This window comes from Homo sapiens, chromosome 6 (genome assembly GCF_000001405.40).
Source record: "Homo sapiens chromosome 6, GRCh38.p14 Primary Assembly".
Lineage (NCBI taxonomy): Eukaryota > Metazoa > Chordata > Mammalia > Primates > Hominidae > Homo > Homo sapiens.
The window spans coordinates 65,621,747-65,638,213 of NC_000006.12; the positions used below are offsets into that span (position 1 = coordinate 65,621,747).

General features: G+C 39.3%; 1 protein-coding gene across 3 annotated transcripts in view, besides 1 other annotated feature; it reads right to left on the reverse strand.

The window, feature by feature from the left end:
- EYS (eyes shut homolog) overlaps positions 1–16,467 on the reverse strand; it is a 1,987,247-nt gene that overhangs the window by 1,901,767 nt on the left and 69,013 nt on the right. The gene's annotated exons all lie outside the window — the stretch shown is intronic.
- Positions 15,777–15,946: an enhancer, noted in NCBI's record as "experimental_93271 CRE fragment used in MPRA reporter constructs". NCBI's record gives its function as "activates a minimal promoter by MPRAs in K562 erythroleukemia cells, with activity observed for both the introgressed and non-introgressed 6:66347501 variant alleles {active_cell/tissue: K562}" and the evidence as "EXISTENCE:reporter gene assay evidence [ECO:0000049][PMID:34662402]".

Below are 16,467 nucleotides of genomic sequence, written 5' to 3' on the forward strand. Positions count from 1 at the left end.
TGGTGGTAACAAAATCTCTCAGCATTTGCTTGTCTGTAAAGTATAATTTTTATTTTTAAATGTTTCCTTGATGTGTCTCTTTTACTGAGTTCTAATATGATGAATCACCAAATACAGATAATCATAGCATTCAATGAAGAGAAGTTAAGTGAGTTAATTAACAGGTGTTTATAAAGCTGTGGTGTTATGCTTTCACTAATCTTTCCTTGTGGCAAATATTGTGGCACATTATAGAAAAAATAATAAAACTAAACAAAACTAAAAATAAGCAGTTCCCAAGTCTCCAAGCACAAGACAGAGATGTCTATAAATTTAACTGAACAACTTTTCCAGTTTATGTCAGCAATAAAGGGATATCTAAATGGAGACCAGAATGAGACAGAATCGTTTGTCCTTCTCAGCTGATTCTCTCTGGGGCTCACTCTTCTCCCCAGTTGGTTAATCCATTGTTTTCTTCACACAGGTTAGACACAGAGGAGAACCTTTGGAGATGAGAAATTTGAACTTTATATTTTTCTTCTTTATTTCTACAGGCTACACTGAAAACAGTTGCTCTGTATCAGGTTAGCCATAAGTTAGAGCACCAACTTAAATTACCTTGAAATACATCAACTTTTTATAAATTTTCTGATTTAGAGATTTCAAAATTACTTCTGCTATTAATCAAATTTTCCTTAGACATGTTTTCCATTATTATTGTAATATTATCATTATTAAAATAATAGTAGTAGCTACATTCTTTTACACATTATTCAATTATGGTAAGTAATTTGCATATTTTTTCTTATTTAAGATCTATACAACAGTTTTATGGGATGGTGGTGTTAAAATTATTTTTCCTTGGAATAATAAGAATAAATATTTGGGATACCTGGTTTGGATTACTGCATTGGAGAAAAACGTACTTCAAAGCAGACTATCATTGTTAAGATTGTTGCATTTCTTGAGTTAATCAAGAGTAAGACCACATTTTTAATGAATATCTCTTACTATATAGGAATAATCTTTCTTTTTTTTTTTTTTCTGGTTTTGAAACAGTATCTCTCTGTCACCCAGGCAGGAGTACAGTGGGGCAGCTACAGCTCATTGCAGCTTCAACCTCTCGGGTCCGGTGGTCCTCCCAACATCACCCTCCCAAGTAGCTGGAACTATAAGCATGCACAACACCACCCGACTAATTTTCAAATTATTCGTACAGCTGAGATCTGTCTATGTTGCCCAGGCTGGTCTCAAAATCCTGGGCTCATGTGATTCTCCCACTTCAGACTCCCAAAGTACTGAGATTGTAGGCCTGGGCCTCCAAGCTTGGTGATTCTCCTTTTTAATACCTTAATTTGAGATATGGCCAGGCAAACAGTAGACCTTACTTCTAATTACAGAATTGGGAGGAAAGAAAGAGTCTGAGCTCTGGGCACACAAGCTGATGCAGTTGATGGACAATGTCCTGCTGGATAACCTCCAAAGACTTGGTTGTAATTTTCTCAATCTCCATTTTTCATAGGAACCTAGTAGAAAGCAGGGGACAGCGAAGTCATCATCCAGGAGGAACTAACATGAAAAACATTTTGCATATATATTATTATTTTAAAATCATTTGCCTTAATTTTTAAACTGCTTATATAAAATGAATGTTTATCCCTTGAAATGAACTACATTAAAATTTAATGCAGATATTTCAGGTGGCTTCAGCTCAAAATAATTTGGGTAATTTTTAACAGTTGTTTATAATAAGTAAATTTATCTTTAAAGGACAGCTGAGATAAATAATTTTTATGAATTTACACTTACAAATTTTTAGTATAGTGTTGTGCCTAGGGGAAAGTTTAATACATAATAGGTATTCAGTAAAAACTTTTTGAAAAAAAAATTGAAGCGATAAAAGGTTAGCCTGGATTTGCCATTTAATCAGTTCAGTTCAGAGTCTTGAGTATGTACATATGAATCATTGTTAAATAAACATGGAATTATTTTGTGAATTAAAACTAATGTATGTACATTTCTTAGATGATGTCTAACATGCAGTAGACGTCCAGTGAGTCACAAATGGTGCATAGTGTTTACTTTTGGAATAAAGTGAGACAGAAGACAATTGGTATTTTCTCTGTCTCTCTTGTATAACCTAGCATAACTCACCTTTCTTGAACATAGGCTCATGTTGAGTGGGAAGCAAGGGAGTAATCACATGGAAGAATGTTCTGCTTTCAGGAATTAATGCATCCTATTCCTAAATAATTAACTACAGGTAAGTATATGATAGATGGATGGATAGATAGATAGGCAGACAGGCAGATATTCTCAAACAGCAATTAAAGTAAACATTACAACTTAATTCAATATCTCATATTACAGTTCAAGAATCTGAGAAAATATTTTCTAAAATAATGATATTAGGCATAGAAGAGACACACTTAGTGGCTATATAGAAATCTCAAACTTATACAAAAGCAATAAAAGTTCCCCTGATAGATATCAGTATGGGAATGTTATGTTTACATTAAACCCTGTATTTTAAAATGACTTAGTATTGGGGTTGGCAGTTTTGCCCCCTTAATCTTCAATCCCTTGATATTGCACCTATGAATATGTCAGCTTACATGCTAAAAGAAACTTTGCAGAGGTGATGAAGGGTATGATGAGGAGACTATCCTGGATTAGACAGTTTCAGTCTAATCACTCTAGTCCTTAAAGGAGGAGAGCCTTTTTTCAGCTGAATTCAGAAAGATGCTGTGATGGTTAATATTGAGTGTCAGCTTGATTGGATCGAAGGATGCAAAGTATTGTTCCTGGGTGTGTTTGTGAGGGTGTTGCCAAAGGAGATTAACATTTGAGTTAGTGTGCATAGGGAGAGGCAGACCCACCCTCAATCTGGGTGGGCATCATCTATCAGCTGCCAGAGCAGCTAGAATAAAGCAGGCAGGAGAAGGTGGAAGAGCAGACCCGCTGAGTCTTCCTGCCTTCATTTTTCTTCTGTGCTGGATGGTTCCTGCTCTTGAACACCGAACTGCAAGTTCTTCAGCTTTGGACCTTTTGGACTTACACTACTGTATGTCAGGGGCTCTTGGGCCTTTGGCCAGAGACTAAAGATTGCACTGTTGGCTTCCCTACTTTTCAGATTTTGGGACTTGGACTGGCTTCCTTGCTCCTCAGCTTTCAGACGGCCTACTGTGGGACGTCACCTTGTGATCGTGTGAGTCAATTCTCCTTAATAAACTCCCCTTTATATACACATCTATCCTATTAATGTTGTTCCTCTAGTGAGCCCTGAATAATACAGATGCTCTGGAAAAGGGAGGGAGGGGAGAAATTCAAAGCCTGAGAAAATTTCAACCTAGAGGAAGGGGGCTGTTATACAGGGAAAGTGGGCTGCCTCTAGAGGCTGAGAAGACCTCAAGCCAATTGTCAGAAGGAAAACAGGGACCTCAATCTCAAAATCAAAATGCACTGAATTCTGCCAGCAATCTGAGCGAGCAAGGAAACAGATTATCTTATATTCCCCGAAAAGCCATGGTACTCTGTCAACATTTCGACTTCTTCCTGGGGAGACTTGGAGCAGAGAAACTAGCTGAAATCACCAAATTCTGACCTCTTGAAACTGTGAGATAATCTATTTGTGTTGTTTTATTTCACTAAGGTTGTGGCAATTTGTTATAGCAACAGAAAACTAATGCAGGCATAATGGAGGATTCAGATAATTACAAATTTATCCAGCTTTCATTTGCTTACTTTTAAATCTTTCCAATATGAACAACAAAAACATGTTAATTTTGTGACTTGCCTCAGTTAACAAAAGGAAAGTTCTGGTGTGAAAATGTCAATATAATACCGCATATTTTAGGCAAAGAGAGGTTGTGAAATAGTCTCATATAATTATAACATACATGTTTTCTATTTTTATGTTTACTGAATAAATGAAATTTAACGAGTTTGAGTTAAGTTTCTGAAAATTAAACACAATTGCTTATATGCAAATTGAAAACTTGCATCAAACTATTTTGTTTTGTTTTATATTTGAAATTACAGTGACAATGATTTCCATTTAGCTCTAAAGCCATTAAGCAAGGCAAATTTCTCAAGAAAAGGTTCTTAATGTAGTCCCTGAAGTTAAATGTAACAATTGTCTATCTAAAATTGCTCTTGGAATTCTACATCGCAATAATCATTTGCAAATGTAATATTTTTCAGTTACCAAAACTATTTTATCTTTACTGAACTTTCCTGTGGATGTTCTGAAATTATTCCTTCCCTTCCTTTAATTGCAGATTTTTCAAATGTAGCTTCCAGATAGCAGCTTCCAGGTAGCAATCATGATCTAAATCACTGAAGCCTGTGTAGTGATGTGTATAGTCTCTTAGTCCCTAAGAGGTTCCACAAATATCATCTCCTATACACGTTTTGAACCTCCTAGACGATGATACAAAGCACTTATAGTCAGACTATTCAGTCCTGGGAGATTTTTGAGGTCTAAAATCTCACAGTGATTATTTGGTTCTTGTATTTGTAGTTCATCAAGTCACACAGTTCATCAAATTCATTTCTGGCTCAGACCTTGCCATATTTAGGGGCTAAAACAGAGCCACTACCTAGAGTTTGCTTGAATTCTAAGGCCAAGATCATAGTCTTTGTTTTCTTGTTGTTGTTGTTATCTTCTATATGCATTTAGTAATCTCATATCACTGGGAAGTCTGGAATGTCCAAAAGCCTAGATGATGTACTGTGGAACTCACATGATCCCTCTGATAAGGGTGAGAGTCTATACAGGGATAGATACAATGAATAAACTAAACCTTAATCCACTCCCTGTATAATTGAATCTGTTTTAAACAAACCCTAATTTTTTAATTAAAGCTCCTCTGATCATTGAAATCAATTGTATTTGTTTACCTAAAACAAGCCATGGACCCGAATAAGGAGTAGATTAGAATACAGACCAGGAATGGAGTAAAGAGGTCAAAAGTGAGGAATGACTAATTTGCAAAATAACAAATTCAAAGATAGTAACAAATATCCCAGCCTCAAAGTTGTAATTAATAATGATAATAATAGTAATAATAGATATATATTGACTATGTGTGTGCTCGGCAGTGTTTTATGTATTGTATGGACTCATAAGAACAGAGAGCCCCTGGCTCAATGGAAATGGGCATATTATGTAAAAAAAACACACACACACACACACAAAAAACTGTCTTGTTAAAAACCAATATATTTCAGGTTTTCTTTTCTTTCTTTCTTTCCTTCTTTCAGCCTGCCTTTCTTTCTCTCTCTGCCCTTTCTTTCTTTCTCTTTCTTTCTCTCTTTCTTTCATCTCTTTCCTTTCCCAGTTTATCTTCATATAAATATTGATTACCTGAAATTGGTGCTACTGTAACAATGACAATAAAATGCACAGTATTTACTTTAAGTCTGGGCAGTAAACAGCAAGGGAACTCTTACTGGAGGCTGTAAGAAAGGCAATTTGTATTACGCAAGAGTGAAACATAAAACTGTCACTTGTGATACCATGAAAGAGAGAAAATATCCCAGTGAACTTGTAGCTTTAGGTCAAAAGTTGAACAAGTTTAACAAAGAGAATTTGTGATGGTTGCATTTGTAATGGTACTGAGAGGTGACAGCGTGCTGGCAGTCCTCACATCCCTCGCTCGCTCTCGGTGCCTCCTCTGCCTGGGCTCCCACTTTGGCGACACTTGAGGAGCCCTTCGGCCGCCGCTGCACTGTGGGAGCCCCTTTCTGGGCTGGCCAAGGCTGGAGCCCACTCCCTCAGCTTGCAGGGAGGTGTGGAGGGAGAGGTGCGAGCAGGAACCGGGGCTGCCTGCCGCGCTTGCGGGCCAGCTGGAGTTCCGGGTCAGCTGGAGTTCCGGGTGGGCGTGGTCTTGGCGGCCCCACACTCGGAACAGCTGGCCAGCCCTGCTGGCACCAGGCAATGAGGGACTTAGCACCCGGGCCAGTGGCTGCGGAGAGTGAACTGGGTCCCCCAGCAGTGCCAGCCCACCGATGCTGCGCTCGATTTCTCACCGAGCCTTAGCTGCCTTCCCGCGGGGTAGGGCTCGGGACCTGCAGCCCGCCATGCCTGAGCCTCCCACCCACTCCATGGGCTCCTGTGCGCCCGAGCCTCCCCAGCGAGCACCACCCCCTGCTCTACGGCGCCCAGTCCCATCGACCACCCAAGGGCTGAGGAATGCGAGCGCACGGCGCAGGACTGGCAGGCAGCTCCACCTGCAGCCCCGGTGCGGGATCCACTAGGTGAAGCCAGCTGGGCTCCTGAGTCTGGTGGGGAGGTGGAGAGTCTTTATATCTAGCTCAGGGATTGTAAACACACCAATCAGCACCGTGTGTCTAGCTCAAGGTTTGTGAGTGCACCAGTGGACACTCTGTATCTAGCTGCTCTGGTGGGGCCTTGGAGAACCTTTATGTCTAGCTCAGGGATTGTAAATACACCAATCAGCACCCTGTGTTTAGCTCAAGGTTTGTGAGTGCACCAATCGACACTCCGTATCTAGCTGCTCTGGTGGGGCCTTGGAGAACCTGTGTGTGGAAACTCTGTATCTAACTAATCTAATGGGGATGTGAAGAACCTTTGTATCTAGCTCAGGGATTGTAAACGCACCAATCAGCACCCTGACAAAAGAGGCCACTCGGCTCCACCAATCAGCAGGATGTGGGTGGGGCCAGATAAGAGAATAAAAGCAGGCTGCCCAAGCCAGCAATGGCAACCCCCTGGGGTCCCCTTCCACAGTGTGGAAGCTTTGTTCTTTCGCTCTTTGCAATAAATCTTGCTACTGCACACTCTTTGGGTCCACGCTGCTTTTATGAGCTGTCACACTCACCGCGAAGATCTGCAGCTTCACTCCTGATCCCAGCAAGACCAGGAGCCCACCGGGAGGAACGAACAACTCCAGACGCGCTACCTTAAGAGCTGTAACACTCACCGCGAAGGTCTGCAGCTTCACTCCTGAGCCAGCAAGACCACGAACCCACCAGAAGGAAGAAACTCCGAACACATCTGAACATCAGAAGGGACAGACTCCAGACGCGCCACCTTAAGAGCTGTAACACTCACCGCGAGGGTCCGCGGCTTCATTCTTGAAGTCAGTGAGACCAAGAACCCACCAATTCCAGACACAGTACTATAGGAAAGAGATGAGCTTGGAAAATAATTCAATGGTTTTCATGCAAAAATATGATGGCATTGTTTAGAATTTTAGGGGTGTGTAGGGTTGAAACACATTTTTAACCACAACCATTAAAAAGCAAAATTGAGAAATGATTTGATCAGCAAAGGTCAATCAAAACTCAGATTCACAGTAAAGTCAAGTGTATGACTATCACACTCACTGTTAAAACTATACAGTAGTTTAAGATGATGCTCAGTCAATCCTTTCAGTTCAACAAATAGTGCAAGGAAATGAGACTGAAGGTAAGCCTGTTCTACAGATTCCTGGCAGGATCAAGGTACCCAAAATTAAATCTAAAGGGAGAGTCATATCATTAAAAGAATAGTATGTTTTATAACCAGAAGTTATGACACACACACAAAAGACTTGAATCTTTAAGGGGGTTATTCTGAAGCTGTCATCACAGGGTTAACAAGAATTCTGGACAGAAATATAGTTACAAGTATGCATTAGTCAGGCTGCAATTTGATTCACTTCCTTGTAACCAAAATCAAAGTCACTAGATATCGACCATTTGCATGTCCATTGTTCTTCTAGGTAGGATATCTGAAGTTAGAATCATAAGACTTTTAAGAATCCTGAATTCCAGCAGAACAGCTGATGCCAACCCGAAAACCCCACATGAGAACTAAATCAGCATGAGAATGCAGTTTCTTCTTCTCCCTGTCTCATGACTGCACCCTGCACTCTTCAACTAATCAACAATCTCCACACATCAGTCCACTCCAAAACCTTTAAAAACCCTACCCTCAAACTCCTCGAGAAGACGGCCTTCAGGTTTCCTCCTGTCTCTTTGTTTGGCGGCCCTACAATTAAACCTCCTTCTCTGCTGCAACCTGATGTCTTGGTGTATTGATTTGTCTTGTGCATAGGGCAATGGGCAATGAACCTTTTGAGGCTATAATTCCACTAAGTCATCCACCTCTCTGGAATAAAAAATAAAATGACCTCAATATTCTAAAGATGTAAAACAAGCCTATAAAAAAATCCTGCACAGCCTCCAGAGAAGACAAATTCTCAAATTCCCTCTTTAAGTGAAGACAAGAAGGATAATAGAAAGTTAAAGAACTCCCAAAGGTCAATCCCATGGATGATGGAGAACAAGGTACAGAACTGGATTGCTAATCCTAGGAAGTGAAATTAGGGTCTAATCAAGGAATACACTTCCAGTGTAAAAGCACCTCATAAATTCCACACAGCTGGATTTCAGAATTGCTGTTGACCAATGACCATTATATCTCCTGTTCTTCCCATGTCAAAATGGTCACTGTGGTTGTCTTGTGTCTGCTTCACTATGTAATATTTGGTAGGGGAAAGGGGATCATTGACACTTAGGTCAATAGGAATCACATCCAGACTTCATTTAGAGACTATCACATTACCTAGATTCACGGATTTTAGTTAGATACTAAGATTGCTTGGGACTTTGTGTTCCCCCCGCCTGGGGAAACAGGAGAAACAGGAGAAGTAAACAGTTACACCTTATGGAACATCTTCTCCATTAATATTTTCTTAATAGAGCATTTTTCTGCTTTTTCTATCCAAACTTAGTAGAACTTACATATTTCTCAATGTAAATATTTTGACCAATATTTATCTAAAAAAATTTCAAAAACTCAACAGCAATATTTTAGCAAAACCGGTATATGTGAAAGTCTCAGGTTGCATAACAAATACATTTGACAGAACTTCTAAATCATATGCAGATATCTTGAAAACTTGCAGAGTATCAACAAAAGAAATACCATTCTTATATGAAGCACATCACAGTGTCATTGTCAGTTAAAATATTCTCTGTGACTTTGTACTTGTGTTGAACATCTTGCCACATTACTTTTTATATTTCTATAGTACTTGTCTAAAATAGTAAAACAAGTCCTCCAAACAATAAAGAAATTTGTATAAAAATTATTGAGAAAAGCTGTATCAATGGAAGAAAACTTACTGAATGCAAAAGAACTGCTTGTTAACAACCGTATTGTTTGGTAGTTAAGAACCAAAGATGTAAGCAATTTATATACTTAGGCAATAGTTCATAATGTGTATTCTTTAATGCATTTTAAAAAGTAATATATTGGTTGTAAATATTTGACTGATGTGTAACTCATTAGGAATATTTTTCATTTAAATTATTAAGAAATAGGCTACTTGTTAGTATTTTCACACATAAACCTCTAATTCGCAGGAATAAATTACTGTGATTAATGGGAGACCCCTGTAAAAAAGAGGATCAACCAAGTTTTTGGTGACAATGAAGACAGATGTGACCATTATTTGTGCTGTTGAAAAATATCCTCATTCTCCAGCCCACCTTCTGGACACAAGGTAGTTGCACTTCCTGAATTCTGTCTGGAGGATGGGGCTGGGTGGTGAGTTTCAGTCCGTGAGGTGGGGTGGAAGAATGCATATCATTTCTGGACCAAAGTACTTAATCCACTATGATATCCTCCAGTGTGTTATTTCCTCCAGCTACTGTGAAAAGTAATATTAGCTTTGGTCCTTGAATGAGGATGGCATATACACCAGATGGGCTATAATGGACACCTAACATGAATGGAAAAAAAAAAAAAAATCCTGTGTTGTTTTCCCTCTGTGGGGCAAGTGGGAGGTGAGTTTTACTTGAAAAATCTAGTCTGATCTCTGTTTCTCTACAACTTCATTATGACTGAACAAGCACAAATACTGTCATCTCTACTCTGATTTACTATAAAAGACTTGTAATTGATTTTTCTCTTTCATGTTCATAATCTGCAAGTCTTCTTTCCATAGAGGGAGAATAAATTTTTTTAACATGCAAATAAGATTGTGTCAGCAGTTCTAATGTGCCTATGGATAATTCGAGTAGAGTATAAGTAAAATTTACTAGTAGGTGTTCCAGGAACTGTGAGGCCAAATTTTAGAAAGTCCATTATTATGGATGTTAGAGTTCCCAAGCATAAAAGAGAATAATGAATGGAAAGAAAGGTTATAATTCAGTTAGTGGCTAAAGTCACTGAATATGTACAATGTGGCAGACACTCTTTAGTTCTCACATCACTCTAATTCTCTTACAACTTCTCCTACTTTATATATGAGGAAATTTAATGACAGAAAGATTATGGTAAACAATATGTCTTAGGTAACACAATTGTTAACGTAATAGAAGTGGGATTCAAACTTGCCACAGAGCCTAACACTTAACTGCCAAAAACCAAAAAAAAATCCTGAAAGTTCTATGGACAGAACCAATAAAAAGTAGGCAAAATGAGCTCATGAGGAGTTTATGAAAGTGCCTGTTACAATGCTGAATGCAAAGCAACTGCATGCTTTGTACTTATATTCTTATCTGGATGCTTTATAGGTACCAGATTTTCTCTGCTCGTTCATCAGTAGACAGATGAATGTTCCTGATTTCCACTTGACAAGTTAATGCATTTTGGAAGTGTAAATACTCAAATAAAATTCAAAATCAATGTCTAATAAAATTTTTCTGAGCCTGGACTCCACCACTAGACAACGTATGCATGTAAGAAATCCGCACTTATACTCACTAACTCTATAAAGACAAAAATACAAATTTTCTTCTTTTTCCTATAGTATAAAGAGCTCCCTTGGTGCGGGTGAGCATGTTATTATTCATGCTCTATCATATTCCAAATTTCATTTTATGCTACAGGTTAGCATATCAATTACTATCCTCATTTTCCATTGAAAGGTCAGCGTTGCTGTTTGTGTGGTTTTTGAGCAGAAGAAATATGCATTCTGAACAGTGTTATAAATGTATTAGTTATTCCTTAATAACTTATTATGCTACTTGGATGACTATAAGAATGTAATATATACCACTAGGTAAGTTATATTTTCTCAAGTAGAAACAAAGAATTGAAAAACTAGAAGATTATCTTATGATACCTAGTTTAACTTCCATGTTCCATAGGTGAAGAAATTGAGTCCCAAGTAAGTTAAATAACTTTCCCTGAATTTCAGAGGATACTAGTAAATAGGGATAAATTGAGGACCATAACTGAGGGCCCTTGAATCTGTGTTCCATGTAGCTTATGTAATTAATAAAATAAAAGCCTCAATGTTACACAGCAAATATGTCTATCTACAGAAATTTATTAAATAGTATTTTTAATAGTAAATGAGAAGTCAAAAAGGTTGGCTCATATAAAGATACTATATAAAGTATTTTTCTTGCTACCACAACGTAATCATTGCATTGTTAGGGTTGTGTTTTCTCTGAACTATCCATCATAAGATTTATTTTTTGACTTTTGTATATCTAATGCTTTCTCACTTAGATCTTCTAGTAATTCACATCTGAGTTCACTTTGCTCTCACCACTTTTCTAAGCAGGGTTAGGCTACAATGGTAACACTTTACCTTCTTGCAGTGTGCTATATTTCATTTTGTAATTATATGAAAAGACATTGTAAAAAAGAGGAAAGAAAAGCTCAATGTATTTTACAGAATGCATTTTGTGCCAAGTCTGAAGTACCACATACTTGTGAATACCAGAGAGTTTTCAAAGCATTTTCATTTTATTTCACATTATTTCATTTAATTCTCCCACTAATCTGTAGAGGTAGGCGAAGTAGGTTTTAATGTCTCTGTTTTATAGATGAGAAAACTTGTCATTGGAAGGATAAGTGACTTGCCCAAGTTCACACTGGTATTAAGTGGTGAAGCTGTCCATTATTCAGTGCTTCTCCCTCTACAGTTTACTGAGATAATCAGTGTTGCTTAATAGTAGCTGCCTAGAATACATCTACTATAATTATGAAATACCTACCCTCAAAGCCACAAACTGGCCCTTTTCCAATTTCTCACACTTTTATAGAGCAGAGGTCAGCAAACTAAAGCCCACAGATCAAATTGGAGTCCTTCCTACTTTTGTAAATAAAGTTTATTAAAACACAACCACAGTCATTCATTTACATATTGTCTATGGCTGTTTTCCCGCTGCAATGGCAAAGGTAAGTAGTTGGGAGAAAGGTCACATGGTCCCAAAGTCTTCAGTGCTCTTCGGCCTTTGCCTTGAATGTGTGCTGACCCCTGCTAGAGAATATGAAAAGCTAAAGTATACTTCCAGACTCTTGCAGCTATTCTTTCAGAAACTACAGAAATCTCTAAGTAATCTTTCCAGGAAATGTTTTTAAAATAAACAGACTTGACTGGCTTGGCTCTTCTTTTCTTTGTCCCTTTCCTATATTTGCTTCTTCCAACCTGTATTGTGAACAACACCTGGGATTGCAGTCATTACTTAGTATACATGAAGAGACAAACATATGGACAAATGAGGACGGATAGAAAGAAAACAGAGTTAGGGTGCCTAACTACATTTCTGAGCAACTTCTTCAGCCCTGGACTTCGTGGATCTATAAAGGATTCTCTACATATGAAATACACTGTTAGTAGTGTTACTTGATTATAATTTAAAAAAATTATAATGGATGCATTCAAATGTCCTGTCATTTACTGAGTCATAACAATAGTGTTAGCTTCCATGTTAAGGCCACTAAATATTGAATCACTTTAGGATTCAGCATTTTACTCCTTTATCTACACCCACTCCCTTAGCGATCTTATATAACCTCATGAATATACAGTGTTTATGTGATGATTAATCTTAATTCTATCACAAGGCCAGTCATCTATTCAGCTAGCTACTCGGCAACTCTACATGGAAGTTTATCCATATTTCAAACTTGACTTCTGCAAAACCTGATCCTCTTGAAGATTTCCCCATTCCAGTTAATAGCAATTTAATGTTTCAATGCTTGTGCCAACAACTGTGGAGTCATCCTTGATTTCTCTCTGTCATCTACATTCCATATTTTTAGCAAATCTAGTCGTAACCCCATCAAAATATTTCCTGAGGCCCTGCAAGCTGAAGCTTAGTCCTTGTTATACAGGTGAGAAGAATATGTCAGATTGCCAGTGCCTTCCTCTTCTATAACTAAAAGTTCTTTGAGTCTAACATCTGGATAAATTGTGCCCAACATTAAACTTCATTTTTCTTCTGTCTCTATAGAAATGCCTCTTATTAAAAATCAATTTGCCTTCATCACAGACAGAAGCCTAGACCACCTGAGATGCCATCTCCTCATATTGGAAACAGCTGTTTAACTGAACTGATCTAGTTTCAGGACTAGTCTGCAGTTCATTTAAGTGCTGTGCTAAAACTGTTGGTAAGGTTATCAACATCTTTGTCACATAAGCCTAGGAACACTAACTGGGAACCCCATGAGTAGATGCAGATAACTGCAAAGTGGTTTTATTTTTATTTCCCTTGTGCATAACCCACCTCAACCCCACAACTATGCCTCTTGTCAACAGGAAGAAGCTAGAGTGACCATCAGCCTTTTCCCATCTCTATAGCCAACACCTTAAGAGTAAGGTGCTATGGAGCCCAAAGCAGGGTTTAAAACTACCTTTGCAAATTATATCAGGGAGAAAATTATGACAGTAAAAGAGATCTGATTTAACCACCCCGCCCCATCTTGCCTTTCCCTTCAACATTCCTGAGCTTAGGCTAAGCTAACTTTGAGAGACATTTAGTTTATATGACTTTTATCTTATTTTGTTATTTTTATAGAGATGAGGTCTCCCTATATTGCCCAGGCTTGTATCAAACTCCTGGATTCAAGCAATCCTCCCACCTTGGCCTCCCAAAGTACAAGGATTACAGGCACGAGCCACAGCACCCATTCAATATAAAATTTAGTTTTAAATGATAATAGGCCTCCCCCAAAACTCAACCACCTTTGTAAATCTAATGAAACATTATCAGGCTAGGGGGAAGAGCTAAGGTGTGGTCTGATCACAAGATATGCAACATCACTATAGTATATTGCCCTTTTGAGATATTTGTTCAGGTTTTTTGCCTGTCTGACACCTGGACCTGATTGCTCCTATGGCTCCACATGGAAGCAACTCCGCTTAAGAGGATAGCTGTGCCCTCCTACAATTTCATCTCTGCCTGAACCAATCAGCAGCAAGTACCCATTACCTGGCCACCCCATCCCTTCCCTCAAACTGTCTTTGAAAAACTGCTAACCTAAAAGCCTGAGATGAGATTGATTTGAGTAACAACCCCATCTTCTGTGTAGTGTGGCAGGCCTTGTGTCAATTAAACTTTTCTTCAGTGCAATGCCATGGTCTTTATTTATGCAGCGGGCAGGAAGAACTGATCAAGCAATTATCCTTCTACTCTTGTCTTATTTGGCCTATTCTCTATACCTCAGTCAGAATGACCCAGTAAAACTGAAAAGAAGACAAGGTCATTTCTCTGCGCAAAATTTTTCAATGATTTGCTGTCTTTCTTAAACAGAAGCGAAAATCTTTGACAACAACCTACAAAATGTTTTGCAGTCAGTCCCACTTCCTCCCCAACCCTACCTTGTTATTTCCATGACCTCAATTCATATTATAGCCTCTTTCATTCATTGTCCTCTGGCTACACTTTTTTGCTTGCTTGTCTTCCTGAACATGCCAAGCATTCTCCTGCCTGGAAGTCTACTCTGGTTATTCTTTGTTTGCATTGCTCTTCAACCAACTAGCTACATGGATATCTCTTCTCTTGCAAATTTCTGCTCAAATTTGATTACCTCAGTGAGCTCTTCCTTGACTATTCTGTATAAAACAGCCAACAATTAACCACTTCCCTTAAGATGACAGCAAGAATGAGGAAAATAAAAATAAAAATAAATAAAAGCATAAAAGATTATCCACTTCTCTTTCCCATTAGTACTTCCTATATTCTCTAATCTTCCATTCTTTATTTCTATCATTAATGTTTTATTATGATATATAATTTATGTACTATAATATACACTACTCTTAAGTATTTGCTTTTTCTCCTTAACTCATGTCTTCTATGACACTATATACTTTACTTTTATTTATTTAGTTATTTATTTTTTGAGGCAGGATCTCAATTCTGTCACCCAGGCTGCAGTGCAGTGGTGTCATCACAGCTCATCAATGCAGCCTCAACCTCCCAGCCTCAAGCAATCCTCCCACCTCAGCCTCCTGAATAGCTGGGACTACCAGTTTACACCACCACAGTTGGATATGTTGTTTTTTTAAAAAATTTTGTAGCGATGGCATCCCCCTATGTTGTGCAGGCTGGTCTTTAAGTCCTGGGCTTAAGCGATCCTCCACCTCTGCGTCTAAGATTAAAGGCTAAGCTTAAAGGCATGAGCCAACACACTTGGTCACATTTATTTATTATTTACTATATGTCTTCCTGAATTTAATTTAAAAACGATAAAGGCAGAAATTTTGTTTGTTTTATTTGTAGAGAACCCACAGATTTTTTAGTAAGTTTCTGGTGAATAATTTAATATGCATTTTCTCATTTAATCCTCACATTAATGAGTTATTTCCTCCACAGAAAAAAGGAAAAAACTCAAATTTATTATATTTAAAATAATTGGCATTGGTCACATTGCTAGTAACTAGTGATGGAAGTGACGACCAGTGTGGAGCAGCTGCTGCAAGGATGCTGGTTGCACAGCATGAGACATGGACAGGGTTGCATGTTCTGCAGAGCTGGTGGGAGCCAGGAGCAGGCGAGAGCCCAGACCCCTACTTAGTTGATGAGGCAGAAGCCCGTGCTCCCTGGCACAGCTGCAGCCACCCAGCTGTGGCGCTGGACTCTAGCATCACTGCACTCTTGGGGGCCCAGGAAGCTACTTGCCATAGCAGGCTTGAAAGTACCTGCTCCTGCTCCCTGGCCTCTCCCCACTTCCAGCACCCACTCTGGCATGGAGCAAAGTTGTAACCAAGCCTGGGCACTGTTGCAACTCTAACAAGTGTGCGGGCACTCGGGACAGGGCTGACACACCAGCTCCCTGCTGCCTCAGCCTCCTCCAGACTTCGGGCACCAACAAGCACAGGAGGGAGGCTGGCGGGCGTGGTGAGTGGTGAGAGCAGCTCAGCATGGGCCTGCAGCACCCCTCAACACAAACAGCCTGGGCACTGTGGACAGCATGTTGATGGTGGCAAGAAGCAGACAGGCCCTCGGGTGGAAAGGGGTGCATCCCAGGTGAAACCCCACCTTCAAGGCAGGGATGGCCTGAAGCCTGGGGGCCGGGTTGTCAGTTCCAGCTGGAGTCCACTACCCAGAGTGAGAACTTACGGTGCTTTTTTCGGGCCTGCCAATGACAGCCCATGGACAAATAAGCGCATATTTCCTCCCTTCTGAGCCCACTGAAACCCTGGACTCAGCCAGACTCAGACATATGTCAGGACTACCAGCTGTGGGAAGGAACTACCCACTTCAGGTCTCCTGGAGTGATAAGGATGA